This window comes from Homo sapiens, chromosome 9, assembly GCF_000001405.40.
Source record: "Homo sapiens chromosome 9, GRCh38.p14 Primary Assembly".
Classification (NCBI taxonomy): Eukaryota; Metazoa; Chordata; class Mammalia; order Primates; family Hominidae; genus Homo; species Homo sapiens.
In genome coordinates this window covers 18647755-18664039 of record NC_000009.12, presented here as the reverse complement: position 1 = coordinate 18664039, position 16285 = coordinate 18647755, and the positions used below count along the sequence as shown (strand labels likewise).

The window sequence follows — 16285 nt, the reverse complement described above, 5'->3', positions numbered from 1 at the left end:
TTCTTTGTGTCTTTCTTTTTTACATAGCCAACTGTCCCAACATTTACTCATGTGCTGTAATAAATGTTTTAAAATAACACTGGACATAGAAAAGGCATAAATTGCACAGGCAGACTTCTTTCACTGCAGAATGGCCTTTTGCTTTGGGTAATAAGAAATAGGCCAAAAAAGTTTCTCCAACAGACAAGAGTGGGTAAAAATCAGAGGCAAGAAAGATTGAGTAAACATTATTATAAACATTTCTTTCAAATTGTTAACAAAATGCTTTTATTTCACATAACTCTCTTCCATGGCCATCTCTTGATTGACATTTTTTTTCTTTGTGGAAAAAAGCTTTATGAAGTTGTGGGAAGTGAAATTGTCATTTCTCCTAGAAATACACGTACAAATTTTCATGGAAATGTGTAAAAGACTTTCAAGGTCTCTCTAGGGCTGACTTGACCTGTCTGAATTAGGATAACTGTGCCTTTCACACACTGGTCTTCCTATTACAGTTATGCATAAAAATATATAAGTAGAATAATTTTAAAATGAAATCAAATTGCATGGGTTATAACTGTCTTGGCTAAAAAGTTCAAACCCTTAAGATTTCCAAAATAAAGAAATCCAAGCACAATTTCAACACCTTATTCAGTTTTTATGTCGTATCCAATTTTTAATATATAATTTTCTGATGTAATATGATGCTAAATTAAACTTCACCTAAATTTTACAATTATAAAATATCTATTCTTTTTGTTCTTTTAATGAAAACCTGTTATTCTGAGTTCACTTTTATGAGGTAGGGAATATGGTTCCTGTGAATTAATTAATAACAGCAATTTCATATCACATGTAGAACTTAACAGTCATAAATATAAAGATAAAAGAGTAGAGGAATATACACCTCAAGAAATTGACAGCAGAAAACAAAAACTAAAATTGCATTGCTTATCACCTCAAAATAGAATGATTTGCATCGACATTGCCCAAGTCATATTTTAATGAGATGAAGCTTTCTTTTTATGCATACATCATCAGTATAGTATGATTTTAAAAAATAACATTGAGATGTTTCTCAAAAATCCAAGGAGTTTGAAAATGAATCTTTGTCTTTTGGTATTCCTGATTGCTTTTCTAGGGGAAGATTTTTCTTATATTCTCTCTCATAAGTTGAGGATGAGTAAGCTACACTATACTAAAGAGAATCACCAGCAAGTATTGTGACTGCAAAGGCAAACGTTACACCTATGAAAAGATTCTTGACCTGCACTTCCATGACTACTCTTCACTTGAGATAATTCATTCATCAGGCAGATTCTTGACCCTGCAGATAATCTGAGGGCTAACTGTAGTTTCCAAAAAGCAAATAATCATGTGTGAAAGTGTCAAGTGCCTGTTTAAAGCTTCTACTTTCAAAGACCTTTTAAGAATCTGACTACCGAGAATAAGTTCTTTCTCTTTAGCAAAGACTGAGTATGTTCAAAGGCAGCAGAACTGTTCTAAGGCTTGTTTTGACTCTATATAATCAGTGTGGACAGGCTAGAAGGGATCAGCTGTGGCCCTGAAATATGGTCTGCTCTGATCTTGTCCCTGATCGGGAATAGAGATAAAATGGAAAAAATCCTGAGAACATTGTGTCATCACATTGGTTAAGAACGTTGAGTGGTCCATTGGCCTGGACCTTGTTAAGGAAAGAAACAAGGAACCAGAATGAAAGGAAATCAGAAGAGAAAATGACTCTGAAGAGCATGTCACCTGCTGCTTTATAAAAGGGGAGTCTGTAGACTCCGAGATGGCCTCGCATAGCAGCCAGAGCAAGGAGTATGGGTACTAATAACACGTGATTAGTAATGAACACTGGACAGCAACACTATTGATGTTTAATTTCATTTTATTTTTAATTAAAACGTTTCATTTTAATTTAAATAACCTATTTGGAACTTGAGTTATGTTTATGACAAATGAACTAGCAAATTTGACTGACCTGGCTGGACAAGGATCCAAGTTGCACTCCTGAAGCTTGGGTTTGGGTTTGATGTTCTCTGGGTAATAGTGACAGTATTGGTCAGCAACCACACGGTTGCTCCTCAGATCGTAGCACTCAGCCGATGTCAGCTGATAACCTGTAGTATCAAACCATCCAGGCAAGTTTAAATGTACATGCCAATGCAATATATTTCTTTATGCATTTTGGCCAGCTCACATCAATGGAAATTATTCCCCAATGCCTTAGTCATTTCCAGGAAAAAAGACACATAATTGGAAGGCTCATTAATTTTTGCAGACCTCAAGTACTGTGCTTTTCTCAAGTAATCCACTCAAATCTTAATAATTACATTATATAATTAGGCTTGAACTACTTAAGGGCCCAGCCAGATAATAAGACTCTGGTAAGAACTGTTCTTGTTATTTCTTTTATATGATCTAAAAATATAATGCAGAATTCTGTGTCCAAAAAAGATCATCAGGATTTACCAACCATCTTATACAAGAATGCTAAATTGCCTCCTTAGTACCTGGGGCACTAGGGAGAATAAACTCCCAAATAGATAAACAAAATAAATCCCACATTGCTCCCCTTGCACATGGGGGGCCAGCACAGGATCAGGTTCCACCAGATGCCTGGGAACATTATTTTTGCCCAAATTCAACCTGAGTGGGTTGAGTAAATGTACCATTGAGATTCCAACAGTAGACATCACGAATCCTGTTTCCCTGCAGAATTAGTAAAAACACCTCCCTGTTACTGTTCCATTTTTGTTATATTCAAAATCTTCTGTCATTCTCTTTAAAAAGTCTCTAGCGAATATTTCTTAGCCTCCACCCACAAATTGTCACTGTTTAAAGAAGCCTCTCTTAAAAAAAGTATTGTTGAGTAATAGTTAATTCTTTTCATATGTTTTATCTTTCCTACCTGCCTTTTTATTGTCCTGTGGATTTCTGGTAGGGTGGTGATCAAGACTTAGATTCTCGGGGTGAAAAATAAATGTGCATAGAGAATTTTAAAAAATTAGGCCTTTTATATCATTCTTACCCTAATCAATCTGCCAAATACATTATCCCTAGCAGGTGGGTTGAACACGGTTATTGCTAAATACATATTAGGAAGCAAGATTTAAATCATTAAGGGACTTGCAAAAGATTTTAGGAAATCAGAAGGAGGTTTATGAGCCAGATTTCCTGGCTTAAGGCTGTGTTCTCAGACCACCCACAGAAATTAATTGTTCATTAAAGACCCTAAAAAAAAGGCCTTTTAAAATTTGACTATAAAGATGAAAAGCATGAAAAGTAACGAAAGCAATGGATAAGAACACTTTTTCTATCCAATATTTGTTTTATAAAAAAATCAAGTAGCAAAATGACATTTTAAGTAAGTAAATGCACTTTTACTTTTCAATTACACTGTACTCTAAAAGCATCTAATTTTATAACAGGCTAATTATTTTATAATTTTCCAGATAATAATTTCTACACAGGGACAGAATTTATCATGTAGTAAAATACAGGAACAATGCAGTAAATTATTAATCTGAGATGATTATTCTTCAAAATCAAAATTTGTCAGCCTAAACCTGTTGCTTTGAAGCTATTATAGCGTGTATAAAATGAAGAGTTAGAGCAAAAATGAAGGAAATGACCAAAATCATCAGATAATCATGTTTTCTAAAGTTTTATAAGGTATTTGGAGTAGCAAATTTTACACTAAGCAAAATGTCCAACCAGTTGAATCTGGAACCAGAAACAGAGAAGAGAACTTAGAGATCATTTCTTCAGTAATTTTCAAGCTGGTAACTTCAGTACATTTCAAAATAAAGTGGAAGGACAGCTGGTCTCCACATCCCTCACATCTTCACTCAGAACAGTCTTCCTTTTATCCTGGCTTCATAGTTAAGGTTTCCTTTGAAGCAAGATTTGATACCCAGAAACATCTGAAAACCACTGATAGTTCTACTTCTTCATTTCCATGTGAGGAAAATGAGGCCCAAAGAAGTAAGATACATGTAAATCTAACATCAATGTCCCTATTATGTAATGAACGATTATCAAGGTTGCTGACATCACACTCTAATAGCAGCTCTATGTGTGCATATAACTGAAGTGCTATTTCTCACAAAGCATGGTTTTCATTTTTTTTTTTAAAAAAAACAAACCTTAGATTCTTTCCTTGAAACTATTTCCTATGCCAGTCATTAGTAAAAATATCAAAATAATGTATTCCCATGGAACATCAAAGTAATTGACAGTTCATTTTTAAACAAAGCGATTTTCCTTCTTTCTTTCTTCTTTTTTTGAGACAGGGTCTTGCTCTGTCACCCAGGCTGGAGTACAGTGGCATGATCTTGGCTCACTGCAACCTCTGCCTCCTGGTTTCAAGCAATTCTCATGCCTCAGCCTCCCAAGTAGCTGGGATTACAGGCTCGCGCCACCACACCCAGCTAATTTTTGTATTTTTAGTAGAGACAGGGGATTTCACCATGTTGGCCAGACTGGTCTCGAACTCCTGGCCTCAAGCCATCCTTCTGCCTTGGCTTCCCAAAGTGCTGGGATTACAGGCGTGAGCCACTGCACCTGGCCAGCTAAATGATTTTCTATCCATGACAGATGGAACAACTAGAAACACTCATTCTATTGAAATGCTTAAAGTGTTGAATTGATAGTTTTTTATCAACTGAGTAAAAGTACTTCATGGCACTTCTACTGACTTCTTTTAAGCTAAAATCCAACATTGCTCCATAGAACCACATTTTTCAGTAGTTTGTTTACATTGTGTAGATAGAAACAACATAGGTAAAGATGAATTACATCATACAATGTTTTCCAAAAATTTATGGGTAATCATTTGTCTCCATTTTCAGGTACTATCCTTTTATATCTTGTCAAATTAATATAGTGATACTTCTGTGGATTAGCTATTTAAAGTCAGCCAATTAACTGGCTTCTATGAAACTAGAGCTAGAATTTATTTGATGTGCTAATTTTCAAAAGAATAGACATATAATTTTATATCCATTACGTTAGAAAAACAATAATCCACAAACACTGACTCAGTTGGCAATGAATCTAAAATATTCACACACTGATTGTTATCCTTCTGGAAAGAATTTGGTAATGTGTGCCAATAGCCACAAAAATTCTGAAATTCCTTGATCTAACAATCTCACTCCTGAGTATTTATACCAAGAAAATAATTTGAAAAGAGAAAAATACTTAGGTATTAAGTTATTCATTGTATTATAAAAGCATAAAAGTTAAAGGAACTAAATGATTTGCTGTAGGGAAATGTCTAAATAAATTATTGGGAAATTCAATGCAATTATTATGTAAACACTATAATTATGATGAGCAGAAAATGAGGAAAAATAACCTTTTGTAGTAACACAAAAGCCTTTTCTAGTAACACAAAATGCTGTTCGTGTTACAAATATGATGGAGCAGAGACAGGAGTTTATTTTGTGACTTTTCAGGAGAGATGCATTTTAATGAATAAAACGAATGGCATTTCTTTTAATGCATGGATGATGGGGTGGAGTTGAAAAATAACTGAGCCTAAGTCTAAAATGCAGAGATTTTTTTTCCTGGTAGCAAACTATTTTCTCTAATTAAGTAAGCCTGATAAACACTCTTTAATTGATTGCTAAATAGATGACTTTACTTCAACCACATGAGTAGTTTATATGTAAGTGAATGGACCTGCCTGCTTCAGGACCAAACTGCTGCCAAATTAGAATATTTCTAGCTCTGGCCTTCTACAAAATCAAGGAGAGAAGTAAAGACTGTTTCCTCGGTCGGGCACGGTGGCTCACGCCTGTAATCCCAGCACTTTGGGAGGCCGAGGTGGGCGGATCACGAGGTCAGGAGATCGAGACTATCCTGGCTAACACGGGGAAACCCCGTCCGTACTAAAAATACAAAAAATTAGCCGGGCGTGGTGGCGGGCGCCTGCAGTCCCAGCTACTCAGGAGGCTGAGGCAGGAGAATGGCGTGAACTCGGGAGGCGGAGCTTGCAGCGAGCCGAGATGGCGCCACTGCACTCCAGCCTGGGCGACAGTGCGAGACTCTGTCTCAAAAAAAAAAAAAAAAAAAGACTGTTTCCTCTAATGGGACTTTACAGACAGAAAATGTCTTTGGCATCTTGGCGGAGGTATCTGCCTTACAGGAGGGCCTCGAGATTCCACTCTGTTCAGAAGAAAGGATCTGGTCCAAGACAGCACAAAATTTCTTCCATGCTGAAGTAACTCTACTCTTATAATACCCAAGTATTTCCTCACAGAAGCCAACAGTTTTTAGACTAAGTGAACACCATTACCTCCTCCACAGGTTGCTGAGCAAGGAAAGAAATCCGTCTCCCTCCATCGGTGGATGATGGGTTGATAGAAGATGAACTGGACTGTACTGTCAGCGGAGCCCGAGTTACGAATCTGCAGGAGTCAACAGGAAAGTAGAAGTAATGTGACAGTGCGGTGCTTTCTGGTCCCTTGCAGCTTCGAACAAGAGTATATGGTAGTGCTGATGGTTTTAGGCTGTGTGAGGGACTGCACTGCGGGAGAAGTGGCAATGGCAGTATCATGTATCCTACCATTTTACCAGTGAATGGTCCTTGCATAAGCTTTCACTATCATTATCTTCTGAGTTCTGTTGCCACAGAGCAAGGGAGAACAATATCTCAATTTGTGATTTCACTATCATCTTATTCCAAGCCTGTATTCCCTTTCCGTCCTTTATTTCCAACCTCTTTGGTATAATAGATAAAATTATGTGGATTTTAAAATGTAGATTCAGAAATAGACAATTTGTTCTAAGAAAATTATATACTGCAGAAAATAAAAGATACTGGTTTTGGTTAAGAAAAAAGACGAGTTGAAGAATTAAATAACACTTCCCATTCAGAGACACATATTGGGCTTCTTGTCCATTTAGTGTGCGAAGTTACCAACTAGATGCTTGCTAAAAGGCAAACTTCTGGGCCCATGCCCAGCGAACTAGGTAATTCAAATGTTGATGGTTTAAGAATCAAACTGAAAACACAAATTTATGTCATAAAAACGATTACTTACTTAAAAACAATTTATTTGCTTTTAAATAAAACTGGTACTTAATGGAAATTGCAATTTCTTTTTTTTTTTAAAGGGGGTATGTGAGACAAGTCCTTAATGGTTCTTAAGAGTACAAGGTTGAGAAAACATAAACTGAAGAGAAGGAAAAAGTACCTTATGTCAACAATTTCATGAAGACAGAATGATACAACATTTAGACTGTTGGGCAAGGTTTGGACTACTTTTTATAAGGAGGTTCCAAGGACAATTGAGAGGATTACTTCTTACTCTACATTACAACAATTAGAGAAGTATCAGAGTCCAACTGAACCACTTGCCCTAAGTATTTGTTAAGTGTTTTTCAGTCTTAACATTTTCTTTTTTTTTTTTTTTTTGCGATGGAGTCTTGCTCTGTTGCTCAGGCTGGAGTGTAGTGGCACCATCCCGGCTCACTGCCAGCTCCGCCTCCCGGGTTCACACCATTCTTCTGCCTCAGCCTCCCGAGTAGCTGGGACTACAGACGCCTGCCACCATGCCCGGCTAATTTTTTGTATTTTTAGTAGAGACGGGGTTTCAGAATGTTAGCCAGGATGGTCGATCTCCTGACCTCGTGATCTGCCCGCCTCGGCCTCCCAAAGTGCTGGGATAACAGGCGTGAGCCACCGTGCCTGGCCAAGTCTTACCATTTTCTTAATTGCCCATAATGTAGGATAAATGGATGGATTTGGCCTTCAGATTATTTTAAAAATAGCCCTATTTCTGTGCTACTTAATTTAACAAGTGGATTAAACATCTCGGATGCAGGGGGAAAATAAGAATATTGAAGAAACAGGGCCAAGAAAAAGTGATGGATGCTAAACTCTACATCAGTTTTTGGAGTTTAGATGGGAATATGGAAATGTTTCTCAGAAAGTCTGAGAGGGGTGGAAAGAAGGAAGAGAGAAACCCTACAGAATGTCTCATACCCTGGGATTTTGACCTGTAGAGCATTTACGTATTTTCTAATTAGAATAAACAGTGATACCATTCCCTACTTTAAAAGAAAAACAGCTGAAGCAATGCAGTGTCTTTCACAAAAAAAGAGCACTGCCTATAGATTTCTATTTCTCATTTTTATGTGTCAGATACAAGGGTACCTAATTGCTTGCTTAGGGATGTAGTATTAATCACATTCCTTGGAAAGTTCTTTTTTTTTTTTTTTTTTTTTTTTTTTTTTTAAGCTCACAAAAGCCTCTAGCTCTCTTGGGGTGTGTGGTTATCACACTGGAAAGTTATAAGAAAAAAACTTTCATTTAAACACAAGATTCATGAAAAAATAAAAGACCAGAGCATTTGTTTAGATTCAAAGAGATGAGGTTTTTTTGTTTGTTTGTTTTTGTTTTTTACTTTTTTTGTTTGTTTTTGCAGATGTTCTTTTTGGAATGTTAACCTGAGTCCTGGGAAGTAAGGGAAAAAAATCTTAGCTTCTTACAGCCAATGTGAGGAGGATATAACATCATAATACTTGGAGAAACTCTGTTCTAGAAAGCTTCAGTTTGACACATTTGGTTTAGGGAGCTAAACACATCTGGTATATGTAATTTTGACCTCCTTATGTTAATAAAAAAGAGTATTTGAACCAAGCTCTTCTTTCTATAATCACAATGTTTCAGTGTTTCTAATTCAACATAATGATTTCTCACACTAACCTGAAAAGACAAGACAAAAATTTTCCATAGCAATTGACTGCACTGTCATGACAGAGCTGGAGGGCCATAGAAATGTGTATGGGGGGTTATGGTTGAGCTTTAATTCCATGTAAAATTCAAGGAATCAAGGAGATAGTATAAGCACATGAAGACATCATTAAGCACACAAAGGCTTTTCCAGAGAAAGCACTGTTAAAGCATCTTTTCCTTTTTCACTGGCAAAAGGCAATATGTGAGCTTTGGGATTTTCCCTAAGTTTCTTTCTCTCACTGATGTAGAAGCTGTGCCTCAGATGGGCCAGCAAGGGGGCTGGCAGTCAGGGGTCCCCCCAGCCTGGCTTAGCTGTTCAGTCGCTGCTCTCATGAGGACAGGGAGGCAAAAGGAAGCCACAGGTGAACCACTACTGTGTATCTCTGAGCTGGGATCCACAGTGTTATGTGACTTGGTCACACTGCTCTCAGAGCGACAGGGATGTCATGACTTTGGAAAGCTTGGAAACAGTGAACATACATCAGTATGCCTGCTAGGGAGAGAATAACATGGAAAACTGGTAAATCTGTTGATTAAATGTGTCAGTCTACTAGACTCAATTTTTGGCTGTTCTGGTAGTTGACAGAGATACTGTATCCTCAGGAACTGCTGTTAAGACTATTTTAAAATGCTTTTGTTTGGGCTTGAAAAGATATGCAACAATAATAAAATCTTCCTTATAGCAGTTATATATCTATAAATACCTAATTTTGAAATAATTGTGATCTTATCTTTCTCCTTCACATTCTGAAAACTCCATGGAGGCAGGTACATTTATCCTGCTCATCATTTTTCAGCATCATCTACAATGTCTGGCACATAGTAGGTATCCAAACAATGGCTGAATAAACGAATGCATGAATGAACACACAATTGAATTATATACCTTTCAGGTACTTTTGAAATTTCTAACTATTGTTTGTGATAAATTATTAGATGAGTCATTATCTTTTTATATACATCTGCCAGTTTCCTTGAAGATGTTACTGATCACTTGATTTTATCATCAAATGATAAAATTCATAAATGGAAGCAATATTATTACAAAACAATGTTTATCCAAGAGCACTTTGTTTTGAGATGGAGTCTCACTCTGTCACCCAGGGTGGAGCGAAGTGGCGTGATCTCAGCTCACTGCAACCTCTGTCTCCTGGGTTCAAGCAATTTTCCTGCCTCAACCTCCTGAGTAGCTGGTATTATAGGTGTCCACCACCATGCCCAGCTAATTTTTTGTATTTTTAGTAGAGACGAGGTTTTGCCATGTTGGCAAGGCAGGTCTCAAACTCCTGATCTCAGGTGATCCACCCGCCTCGGCCTCCCAAAGTGTTGGGATTACAGGCGTGAGCCACCACACCCAACCCCAAGAGCACTTTCTACCCTCCTTGGAAGGCTGTCTTTTTAGGTCGGACAGTATAGTGAAGAGGGCTTGCCAAAATGCTACTTACTATGGGAATGAAACAGATTCAGTTGTCTCACTGTTTGAAATACCTGATAATTTTAACAGTTGGAAATGCTAAGATTAGGCATTAGCAGATTAAAAATGATTTTAAAAAATGTTAGTACCCAACTTTACCTCTATACTTCTTATAGAGTTTTCTAGTTTTTCTAGAACTCCAGACCTCCATATTGGAAAATAGTGCAGTTCAGCCCATAGGCCCCTAGCTCAGAGTTTTTTTTTTTTTTTTTCTTTTTCATAGAAATGGGGTCTCACTAAGTTGCCCAGGCTAGTCTCAAACTCCTGAGCTCAAGCAGTTCTCCTGCCTCAGCTCCCAAAAGTGCCAGCATTCCAGGCATAAGCCACTGTGCCCAACCTACCTAGCTCAGGGTTATGATTAATGCTGCCCACAACCCTTGAGTAGGGCAGTAGATCAGAGATGCTTCTCTGGAAACAACAGGTATAATGTTGTCTAAAGAACGAAGAAGGTGGCAAAGATTTGTCAGGAAGGAGATACTGAGTGGCAAAGCAGACTGTAGCCTTCCTGAAGGATTGTCCCAGTGGTCAGATGGAGGAGGAGGACAGGAAACCAATGACCAGAGCTGAACTTAATATTGTGGTGGTGGGGAGCGAGGCAGGATTGGGCAGGGATCTGCAACTCTCAAGAGTGAAAGAAAGATGAGGAACCAGTTCTCTGTCTCTGCATCCTAAACCTAGCTGTGTGATGGGCAAAATAATGTGTGAAATCTAACAAGAAATGCAGTATATTCTGATTAGCTCAGTTCTAAACGCTTGGCATCTATCAGCAAAAGGGGCATATTGGCAGAGTCACTACCTCTAAAAGTTGGGTAGGAAAATGAACCAGTACTTACTATTCACTTCTTCTCTTTCCTACAGTTGATTTAAACTTTTCCTCTCAAGAACACATGGCTTAGGACAATGGTTTTCCCTTTTATAAGCATGGGTTGACTGAAATGGGGAGACTGTCTAGAAACAGGCTGGGTGTCAGGGTGAAACCAATCTGGGATTACACATTGGCCAAACCTCAGCCTCCAGCGGATAAAGGAATTGGTTACAGATGCTCCTCAACTTACAATGGGGTTATATCCTGATAAACCCATCTTAAGTTGAAAATATTGTAAGTTGAAAATGCATTTAACACACCTCACTTACCAAACATCCCAGCTTCCCCACACCTACCTTAAATGTGCTGGGCTACAATTGGGCAAAATCATCTAACACAAAGCATGTTTTATAATAAAGTGCTGAATATTTCATATAATTTATTAAGTACTGTGCTAAAAGTGAAAAAAAGAATGGTTGTATGGGTACTTGAAATAAATTTTCTACTGAATGCATATTGCTGTTTCACCAAAATAAAGTAAAAAATTTGTTGTTGGTTATTGTAAGTAGAGGACTAATTGTATTTCAATCCTACCCAAGATTTACAGGCTGCCCAGTATCACAAAGGCTTTCTTTTTTTTTCCTTTTTTTTTTTTTTTTTTGAGATGGAGTTTTGTTCTTGTCACCCAAGCTGGAGTACAATGGTGCAATCTTTGTAACCTCCGCCTCCTGGATTCAAGCGATTTTCCTGCCTCAGCCTCCCGAGTAGCTGGGATCACAGATGCCTGCCACCACGCCCAGCCAATTTTTGTAGTTTTAGTAGAGATGGGGTTTCACCATCTTGGCCAGGCTGGTCTTGAACTCCTGACTTCAAGTGATCCACCCACCACAAAGGCTTTCTTAAGCATATTAGCTTGTAGTGCATATCTATAGCTTTCACTATGTGTCTTTCTTTCTTTAGTATTCAATGATATGTATCACTATTTCAAAACTGTCTATCTAGTCTTTTATCTTCCAAATGACATTATAAGCTAGGAGAGGGAAGATACTATATAGGATGGTCAATCTGCCTCATGTATCAATCATCTGCTAAATGAAGGAAATATATATATATATAATTTTATAAACTTAATAAATTCCCATTATTTTGGACATGGGATTTCTCTCCAGACTCCTTGTATTGTTACCTCTTATAATAAAAGCAAGTTTTGTATCCTAAATTGTGTGCAAGGTTATGTTCAAGGCTATCTAGAACAAAATATGAAGGCATCATCTTTGCCTAATACTCTAACTGATGCAAGCAGAAATCGCAAAGTTTCTGTTCCCTTAGAATTCTCCAAGATGCAATTTTGGTAACAATTGGAATGATGCCACTCTTCCTAACCAAATTTTCCAACTATAGATATGCAATACCTTTTAAAAATTGTCCTCTGCAGGAAATAAGTGTTCTCTTGTTATCAGTGCATGAATTATGAGTTAGTGCTCTTAGCTCTGAGTTTGCTATTATTTTCTCTTCTGCTGTGTGTTTCTGCTACTTTGGTAGCTTAGATATTCATCGATCACCTTCCTCTCTGTCTAATCCGGCTTTCTGCATAGATCTTTCAAGTGAGCAAAACCAGAATATGTACCAAAATATCTTAGCTGCTTTAACAGGTAGAGCTGAGTTGGAGGTTCTAATGAAGAATGGACCTATGACTAAGGAGGACTCTTCTACCTGGGAAAGTCATTCTCTTTCCTTGGGTCTGCAGCTTCAGAAAAGATGCACATGGCATGGTAAGGGAGGGAGGGGATACTAAGTCAGCCAGTTATCCAGATGATGGCCAGATCATCTCTAATAATTAATGTACTGACAGATGTCACCCCCAGTCTGCTCTCATAGCCATTTATCTGAATGGCCACATCTGCCACATTGTTCCTGGGTATACCACTGGTAAATGCGGCAGCCTCTCACCATCTTCAGCAAAGCAGCTTCCTGCTGTTGTTTAGATAGAGTATAGTGATTGGTTTGACTGAAAGTTTAAGTGTTTCAAAAAGATGGAAAGTAAGTAATTTGGATCTATCCACTTTTATATACATTATCTCATTTAATCCCTCAAAAAGGCTCCTTCAAGAGTAGGGAGTATTTTATTACCATTCCATAAAAGAGTAAACAGGTTTGATGAGGCAAAGCAATATTCTTAAGGTCACACACCCAGTAAGCAGCAGATTATCTATTCTACCACACTAAACTGGCATTGACAAAAATGTATGTAGAGCCAACGGAACAAGTTTAAAATTTTTAGAAGAAACGCTGCTCTAGGAAGCAAGATGAGAATTCAGTCTAGTTTTAAAGGTGGCAAGAGAAGGATATTCCAAAACATTATTTTAGAACTAAGGGCAATATATAACAATTGCTCACTGTCACAAAATCTTCCTTTTGCACTAAAAAGTCTTCTCCTTTTAAAGAAACAAAAATGATATTTTGGCAATAAAATTCCATGGAGGAGGGAGGAGCCAAGATGGCCGAATAGGAACAGCTCCTGTCTACAACTCCCACCGTGAGCTACGCAGAAGACGGGTGATTTCTGCATTTCCATCTGAGGTACTGGGTTCATCTCACTAGGGAGTGCCAGACAGTGGGTGCAGGTCAGTGGGTGCAGCGCGCTGTGCACGAGCCGAAGCAGGGCGAGGCATTGCCTCACTCAGGAAGTGCAAGGGGTCAGGGAGTTCCCTTTCCTGGCCAAGGAAAGGGGTGACAGACGGCACCTGGAAAATCGGGTCACTCCCACCCAAACACTGCACTTTTCCGATGGGCTTAGGAAACGGCACACCAGGAGATTATATCCCGCACATGGCTCAGAGGGTCCCACGCCCACGGAGTCTCACTGATTGCTAGCAAAGCAGTCAGAGATCAAACTGCAAGGCGGCAGCGAGGCTTGGGGATGGGCACCCGCCATTGCCCAGGCTTGCTTAGGTAAACAAAGCAGCCTGGAAGCTCGAACTGGGTGGAGCCCACCACAGCTCAAGGAGGCCTGCCTGCCTCTGTAGGCTCCACCTCTGATGGCAGGGCACAGACAAACAAAAAGACAGCAGTAACGTCTGCAGACTTAAATGTCCCTGTCTGACAGCTTTGAAGAGAGCAGTGGTTCTCCCAGCACGCAGCTGGAGATCTGAGAACGGGCAGACTGCCTCCTCAAGTAGGTCCCTGACCCCTGACCCCCAAGAAGCCTAACTGGGAGGCACCCCCCAGTAGGGGCAGACTGACACCTCACACGGCGGGGTACTCCTCTGAGACAAAACTTCCAGAGGAACGATCAGACAGCAGCATTTGAGGTTCATGAAAATCTGCAGTTCTGTAGACACCGCTGCTGATACCCAGGCAAACAGGGTCTGGAGTGGAAATCTAGCAAACTCCAACAGACCTGCAGCTGAGGGTCCTGTCTGTTAGAAGGAAAACTAACAAACAGAAAGGACATCCACACCAAAAACCCATCTGTACATCACCATCATCAAAGACCAAAAGTAGATAAAACCACAAAGATGGGGAGAAAACAGAGCAGAAAAACTGGAAACTCTAAAAATCAGAGCACCTCTCCTCATCCAAAGGAATGCAGCTCCTCACCAGCAACGGAACAAAGCTGGACAGAGAATGACTTTGACGAGTTGAGAGAAGAAGGCTTCAGACGATCAAACCACTCCGAGCTACAGGAGGAAATTCAAACCAAAGGCAAAGAAGTTGAAAACTTTGAAAAAAATTTAGACAAATGTATAACTAGAATAACCAATACAGAGAAGTGCTTAAAGGAGCTGATGGAGCTGAAAGCCAAGGCGCGAGAACTACGTGGAGAATGCAGAAGCCTCAGGAGCTGATGCAATCAACTGGAAGAAAGGTTATCAGTCAGGGAAGATGAAATGAATGAAATGAAGCGAGAAAGGAAGTTTAGAGAAAAAAGAATAAAAAGAAACGAACAAAGCCTCCAAGAAATATGGGACTATGTGAAAAGACCAAATCTGCGTCTGATTGGTGTACCTGAAAGTGATGGGGAGAATGGAACCAAGTTGGAAAACACTCTGCAGGATATTATCCAGGAGAACTTCCCCAATCTAGCAAGGCAGGCCAACATTCAGATTCAGGAAATACAGAGAACACCACAAAGGTACTCCTCGAGAAGAGCAACTCCAAGACACATAATTGTCAGATTCACCAAAGTTGAAATGAAGGAAAAAATGTTAAGGGCAGCCAGAGAGAAAGGTCGGGTTACCCACAAAGGGAAGCCCATCAGACTAACAGCGGATCTCTCGGCAGAAACTCTACAAGCCAGAAGACAGTGGGGACCAATATTCAACATTCTTAAAGAAAAGAATTTTCAACCCAGAATTTCATATCCAGCCAAACTAAGCTTCATCAGTGAAGGAGAAATAAAATACTTTATAGACAAGCAAATGCTGAGAGATTTTGTCACCACCAGGCCTGCCCTAAAAGAGCTCCTGAAGGAAGTGCTAAACATGGAAAGGAACAACCGGTACCAGCCGCTGCAAAATCATGCCAAAATGTAAAGACCATCAAGACTAGGAAGAAACTGCATCAACTAATGAGGAAAATTACCAGCTAACATCATAATGACAGGATCAAAGTCATACATAACAATATTAACTTTAAATGTAAATGGACTAAATGCGCCAATTAAAAGACACAGACTGGCAAATTGGATAAAGAGTCAAGACCCATCAGTGTGCTGTATTCAGGAAACCCATCTCACATGCAGAGACACGCATAGGCTCAAAATAAAAGGATGGAGGAAGATCTACCAAGCAAATGGAAAACAAAAAAAGGCAGGGTTGGCAATCCTAGTCTCTGACAAAACAGACTTTAAACCAACAAAGATCAAAAGAGACAAAGAAGGCCATTACATAATGGTAAAGGGATCAATTCAACAAGAAGAGCTAACTATCCTAAATATATATGCACCCAATACAGGAGCACCCAGATTCATAAAGCAAGTCCTGAGTGACCTACAAAGAGACTTAGACTCCCACACAATAATAATGGGAGACTTTAACACCCCACTGTCAACATTAGACGGATCAACAAGACAGAAAGTCAAAAAGGATACCCAGGAATTGAACTCAGCTCTGCACCAAGCGGACCTAATAGACATCTACAGAACTCTCCACCCCAAATCAACAGAATGTACATTTTTTTCAGCACCACACCACACCTATTCCAAAATTGACCACATACTTGGAAGTAAAGCTCTCCACAGCAAATGTAAAAGAACAGAAATTATAACAAA

General features: G+C 39.0%; 1 protein-coding gene, 1 long non-coding RNA gene and 1 pseudogene across 18 annotated transcripts in view; 1 reads left to right on the top strand and 2 right to left on the bottom strand.

Moving 5' to 3' along the window:
* Window positions 1-7085, top strand: part of LOC102724102 (uncharacterized) — a 37432-nt gene extending 30347 nt beyond the window's left edge. Inside the window, exon 3 of the long non-coding RNA XR_428448.4 lies at window positions 6301-7085. This is a non-coding gene — a long non-coding RNA (uncharacterized LOC102724102). The remainder of the gene's footprint in view (window positions 1-6300) is intronic.
* ADAMTSL1 (ADAMTS like 1) overlaps window positions 1-16285 on the bottom strand; it is a 1004318-nt gene that overhangs the window by 246911 nt on the left and 741122 nt on the right. For 16 of the 17 annotated variants that reach the window (XM_011518064.4, XM_017015312.3, XM_011518063.3 and 13 more), the window contains 2 exons: window positions 6290-6401; window positions 1967-2105 (listed from right to left, as the gene is read on the bottom strand). In XM_011518064.4, the coding sequence (XP_011516366.1) occupies window positions 1967-2105; window positions 6290-6401 (251 nt within the window). Of the gene's footprint in view, window positions 1-1966; window positions 2106-6289; window positions 6402-16285 lie in introns of those variants that run through there. The other variant, XM_011518067.1, reaches the window with a different exon arrangement.
* RN7SKP258 (RN7SK pseudogene 258) lies at window positions 12590-12893 on the bottom strand (annotated as a pseudogene).